General features: G+C 46.0%; 1 annotated feature.

The window, feature by feature from the left end:
- Positions 3,934 to 4,134: a silencer, noted in NCBI's record as "peak1688 fragment used in MPRA reporter construct". NCBI's record gives its function as "represses an SCP1 promoter by STARR-seq MPRAs in K562 erythroleukemia cells {active_cell/tissue: K562}" and the evidence as "EXISTENCE:reporter gene assay evidence [ECO:0000049][PMID:32103011]".

The raw sequence follows: 5,429 nt of genomic DNA on the forward strand, positions 1-5,429 counted from the left end.
TGGGCTGCATTTCCCTGAGACAGGCATTCTTAGTCACAGGATGAGATAGGAGGTCGGCAGGAGATAAAGGTCACAAAGGCCTTGCTGATAAAACAGGTTGCATTAAAGAAGCCAGCCAAAACCCACCAAAACCAAGATGGAGATGACAGTGACCTCTAGTCGCCCTCACTGCTCATTACATGCTAATTATAATGCACTAGCATGTTAACGGACACTCCCACCAGCGCCATGGCAGTTTACAGATGCCATGGCAACATCTGGAAGTTACCTTGTAGAGTCTAAAAAGGGGAGGAACCCTCCATTCTGGGAATTTCCCTTTCCCAGAAAACTCATGAATAATCCACCCCTTGTTTAGCATGTAATCAAGAAATAGCTATAAGTGTCCTTAGTCCAGCAGCCCAAGCTCTGCTCTGCCTATGGAATAGCCATTCTTTTATTCCTTTACTTTCTTAATAAACTTTTTTTCACTTTATTCTGTGGATTCGCCTTGAATTCTTTCTTGCGTGAGATCAAGAATCCTCTCTTGGGGTGGTCTGGATCGGGACCCCTTTCTGGTAACACTACCATTAAAGAAAATGGTTCTGGAGCCTTTGGAGAACTCTTTGGCAAGAAGTCCGGTAAGTCCGTGAAGTTCATCTTTCCTCACAGGGAGTTTACCAACTTGAATGCATGTTTTGCATTACTGAGTTGACTGGAGATGTCATTTGCAGACTTTCGCTTTGGAGTTAAAGTCAACAACATCATTCTTGCATTTTAAATGAGCTCATGTTTGCCCTGTTCCCATCAATTCCTCTTTCTTCCTCTGCTGTTTTCCCGTTTAAGTTAAGGTTCTTTGCAGAGAAGAGGAGAGGCAGAGAGGGAGTTCTGCGGCTACTGCCACGTTTTCATGGAGGATGAGTGTTCCCTGGGACAGATGGGAAGGAAGGTGACACATCAGCGTTCCTGAGTCCTGGGAGTGGGCTGCAGTTATGTGGGAGATCTGGCAAACTTGCCCGAAGCTAAGCTCTTAACGCTGTTTGCTAGTTGCTGACTTCTTGTTAAATAGCTCTAATTGTAGACACTATTCCAAGATGAACTATGTTTTATATATATTAAATTGTACACTATTAGATTTCATGTTGGTCCCCAGAGATAGTTTTAGGCCGATCATGCCTTTAAACAAACAAACAAACAAACAAACAAACAACAACAACAACAACATACCCGGGAGGCTCTGCCTGGTTTCACAGCTGGGCCCTGGCCTGTGGGTTTCAGCCTGTGATGGACTCTTAGGTAAAATCGACCTGAGCTTCCAGCCTTGTGTTGCATGTTGTGCATCCTTCACTTTCGCAGACACTTTATTTTCTCAACATCCTATTGATATTTAGGAGACAGAGTAGCTGCAGTGATGTGTCACAGACACTCAGGAACTTTACAACACCCAGGACGCTGGATTTCTGGTCTGGAAGATGGTGAGTAGTAGGAGCTGCCTTTACTGAGAGCCTGGCTTTAAATTGTTCTTTAGGCTAAAGGAACCACAGCCAAAAAAACAGATTGAGGTGGTGCTGCTTCTGCTGATGACACAGGCTTTCTGATGGCCCGAAGGAGCAGTTCTCTCTCCTGGGTCTGTGGGGCACAACTGAAGGAAATCACTCGCTACATCTCAATCAGACCTTTTCTTCTCACTCCTCTTCACTGACACAAATTCTCACAGAAAGTTTACAAAAAAAAAAAATTATCAGAGCGTTTAAGAAGCCTTACTCCATGTGAATTATAATTTAGTGGGATCATTTTCCAGCGGATTTCTGAGGAGAGAAAAAGGGTGCTTCTTTATAGGTCCCCAAGTTACACATTTAATCTTTCTATTATGTTGGGATTCTAGATGGTTTACACTTATTTAAGCTTCGTTGGTCACAATTTTTTTTTCTAATGGCTAAAATAATGCTGGTTTTTCACGTCCTGTCATCCCACCCCATTTCCTAGTTTAGTGTTCCCTGTTCAGTCACTCGGTGGTCACTATTATCCTGTATCTTCCCAGTATGTGACTACTCTCTCACCCTTTATTTTCAAAAACAAATTTTTATTTTTATTTTAGTAACAGGGTCTCGCTGTATCACCAGGCTGGAATGCAGTGGCGCAATCACGACTCACCGTAGCCTCGACCTCCTGGGCTCAAGGGATTCTCCTGCCTTGGCCTCCTGAGTAGCTGAGACTACAGGTGTACATTATGTTGCCCAGCTAATTCTGAATTTTTTTTGTAGAGACAAGGCTTTGCTATGTTGTCCAGGCTGGTCTTGAACTCCTCGCCTTAAGTGATTCTTTCTCCTTGGCCTCCCAAAGTGCTGGGATTACAGGTGTGAGCCACTGCACCCGGCATCACCCTTTCTTAATGGTGGGCTTCCAGCAGTGATATTGTGTCCGGAATTGGTGGGTCCTTGGTCTCACTGACTTCAAGAATGAAGCCGTAGACCCTCGCGGTGAGTGTTACAGTTCTTAAAGGCTGCATGTCCGGAGTTTTTTCCTTCTGATGTTCGAATGTGCTTGGAGTTTCTTCCCTCTGGTGGGTTCGTGGTCTCGCTGGCTCAGGAGTGAAGCTGCAGACCTTTGCGGTGAGTGTTACAGCTCTTAAGGCGGCACGTCTGGAGTTGTTCGTTCCTCCCTGTGGTTCGTGGTCGCACTGGCTTCAGGAGAGAAGCTGCAGACCTTCACAGTGAGTGTTACAGCTCATAAAGGCAGTGTGGACCCAAAGAGTGAGCAGCAGCAAGATTTACTGCAAATAGCTAAAGAACAAAGCTTCCACAGTGGGGAAGGCCACTGGCGGGGGTTGCCACTGCTGGCTCTGGCAGCCTGCTTTTATTCTCTTATCTGGCCCCACCCACATCCTGCTGATTGGTCCATTTTACAGAGAGCCCAGTGGTCTGTTTTGAGAGGGCACTGACTGGTGCGTTTACAATCCCTGAGCTAGACACAAAGGTTCTCCACGTCCCCACTAGATTAGCTAGATACAGAGTGTGGACACAAAGGTTCTCCAAGTCCTCACCAGAGTAGCTAGACACAGAGTGTCGATTGGTGCATTCACAAACCCTGAGCTAGACACAGGGTGCTGATTGGTGTGTTTACAAACCTTGAGCTAGATACAGAGTGCCGATTGGTGTATTTACAATCCCCTAGCTAGACATATAGGTTCTCCAAGTCCCCACCAGACTCAGGAGCCCAGCTGGCTTCACCCAGTGGATCCTGCACCAGGGCCGCAGGTGGAGCTGCCTGCCAGTCCTGCCCCGTGTGCTCGCACTCCTCAGCCCTTGGGTGGTCGATGGGACTGGGCACCGTGGAGCAGGGGCAGCACTCGTCAGGGAGGCTCTGGCCGCACGGTAGGGGCGGGGGGTGGGTTGGGGGGAAGGCTCAGGCATGGCGGGCTGCAGGTCCTGAGCCCACACCCACCCAGAACTCATGCTGGCCCACCAGCACCGCGCGCAGCCCCCGTTCTAGCCCGCGCCTCTCCCTCCACACCTCCCTGCAAGCTGAGGGAGCTGGCTCCTGCCCTTGCCAGCCCAGAAAGGGGCTCCCACAGTGCAGCAGCAGGCTGAAGGGCTCCTCAAGCGTGGCCAGAGTGGGAGCCCAGGCCGAGGAGGCCCCGAGAGTGAGCAAGGGCTGTGAGGGATGCCAGCACGCTGTCACCTCTCAGTATGGGAATCTGATCCTTCCCTCCCTGGCCACGGCTGATTAGGTCAACGGTGTGCACCTGGGCCAATTAGAACTTTTTTTTTTTCCCCTGGGTTTCTAAGGAAGCTCTGTCTCTCTGTGAGACTGAAACTTTGGAATTATGGGCAGCCATTTCATATTCACTGGGTGGACAAGTATCATCACATTAAGAAGGATGAAGTGAAGGGTTGTGAGGAGACATGGAGAAAGCTTTCACCCCTCTTCCCTCCCTGTTCTAGTCTTCCTGAGGCCTCGCTGTCTTCCTGTTCTTGGGTTATATGAATCACCTCTGTATCTTTATGATAAATCTCCTTCTCCTACCTTGTTTTTTTGGCTCTAGCAAGTGTGAAGTTTTCTTCTGTTGCTTCTAATCAAAAGAATCTTCACTAGTCTGCATTTGTCGAGTCAGTGTTGCAGTTGGCATTGTCACCACTCCAAGAAGCAGATGAAGATACAGAGGGGAAGAGGGAAAAGTGTAAACACACAGTTCCTCACCAAGCTGGGAAATGGGAGGTTTTCTTCTTTTTTTCTTTCACAGTCATAGACTCATTCCTTGAGGGGAAATTTGTGGCGTGTGCAAGAGGTGGGAGACCAGAGCCAAGGACTGCAAATAATAAAGAGCACGATGTAGCTACAATCAGGAAAGAAACAAGGATCTAAAAGGCAGAGTCAAAGTTGAAAGTTTCACATATGGGAATGGGCACCCAACAGAAAGATCTTGGTCTTCTTAGGCAGATAAAATGCTGAGTCTTGGGCCCCTCCCTAGGGATCTAAGGACTCAGGAATGATTTATTCTTGAAAGGCTGATTAAGATGTTTTGAAATTTGCATACTGGCATCTTTTTGCATACCAGGAAAACTAAGAGGACCTTGAAAGTGTTTTGATAATCACCACTCTCTTTTCCCCTTTTGACATGGATAATTCATATCCCATTTTCATGTGACTAATTCAAATATGATTATTATCCAAACAGAAATATTCTTGTACTTTCATTACTGGAAAATAACTTTCTGCTTGTCAGAGCCAAGTTGAGGAAAAGTCAGCATTGTCTGTTTCTCATAAAGCACATTCTTTCTCTGTCTCATGCCAAAATTCTGTCTCAGTTGGAAATAAAGTGGACAAATCTTCACTGTGGCTGATCTATAGCTTTATAAGAGAAGGAATATATTATGATTCTAACTCTGTCCTTGGGACTTGCTGTTCTGATTTCAGGTTACATGAGTAGAATATTTAAAAATCAGGGAGAGTACATATTCAGAATATGGGCATAAAATGGAAATGTTAGATAATTTTTTATTTTTGACATTAAAATGTTTTTCATAAATTAACATAAACAAAAATCACAGAATGGTTTTTACTTTTACTTAGGAAGAGCAAGGCAAATAAATGTTATTCACACATTGTATCAGGCAAAAATGCAAATGTTCTCCCCAACTAACACCATTAAAAATATTGCCTCTCACAAGTTTCTCCTGGCAAAAGTTAGTTTCAAATCTACAATTTAAATATTATGAGCCAGGCGAGGCACTGTGGCTCACGCGTATAATCCCAGAACTTTGGGAGGCTGAGGCAGGTGGATCACTTGAGGTCAGGAGTTTGAGACCAGCCTGGCCAACATGGTGAAACCTTGTCTCTACTGAAAATACAAAAAATTAGCTGGGCGTGATGGTGTATGCCTGTAATCCCAGCTACTCGGGAGACTGAGGCAAGAGAATCGCTTGAATCTGGGAGGCGGAGGTTGCAGTAAG

This window comes from Homo sapiens, chromosome 12, assembly GCF_000001405.40.
Source record: "Homo sapiens chromosome 12, GRCh38.p14 Primary Assembly".
NCBI classification, from domain to species: Eukaryota; Metazoa; Chordata; class Mammalia; order Primates; family Hominidae; genus Homo; species Homo sapiens.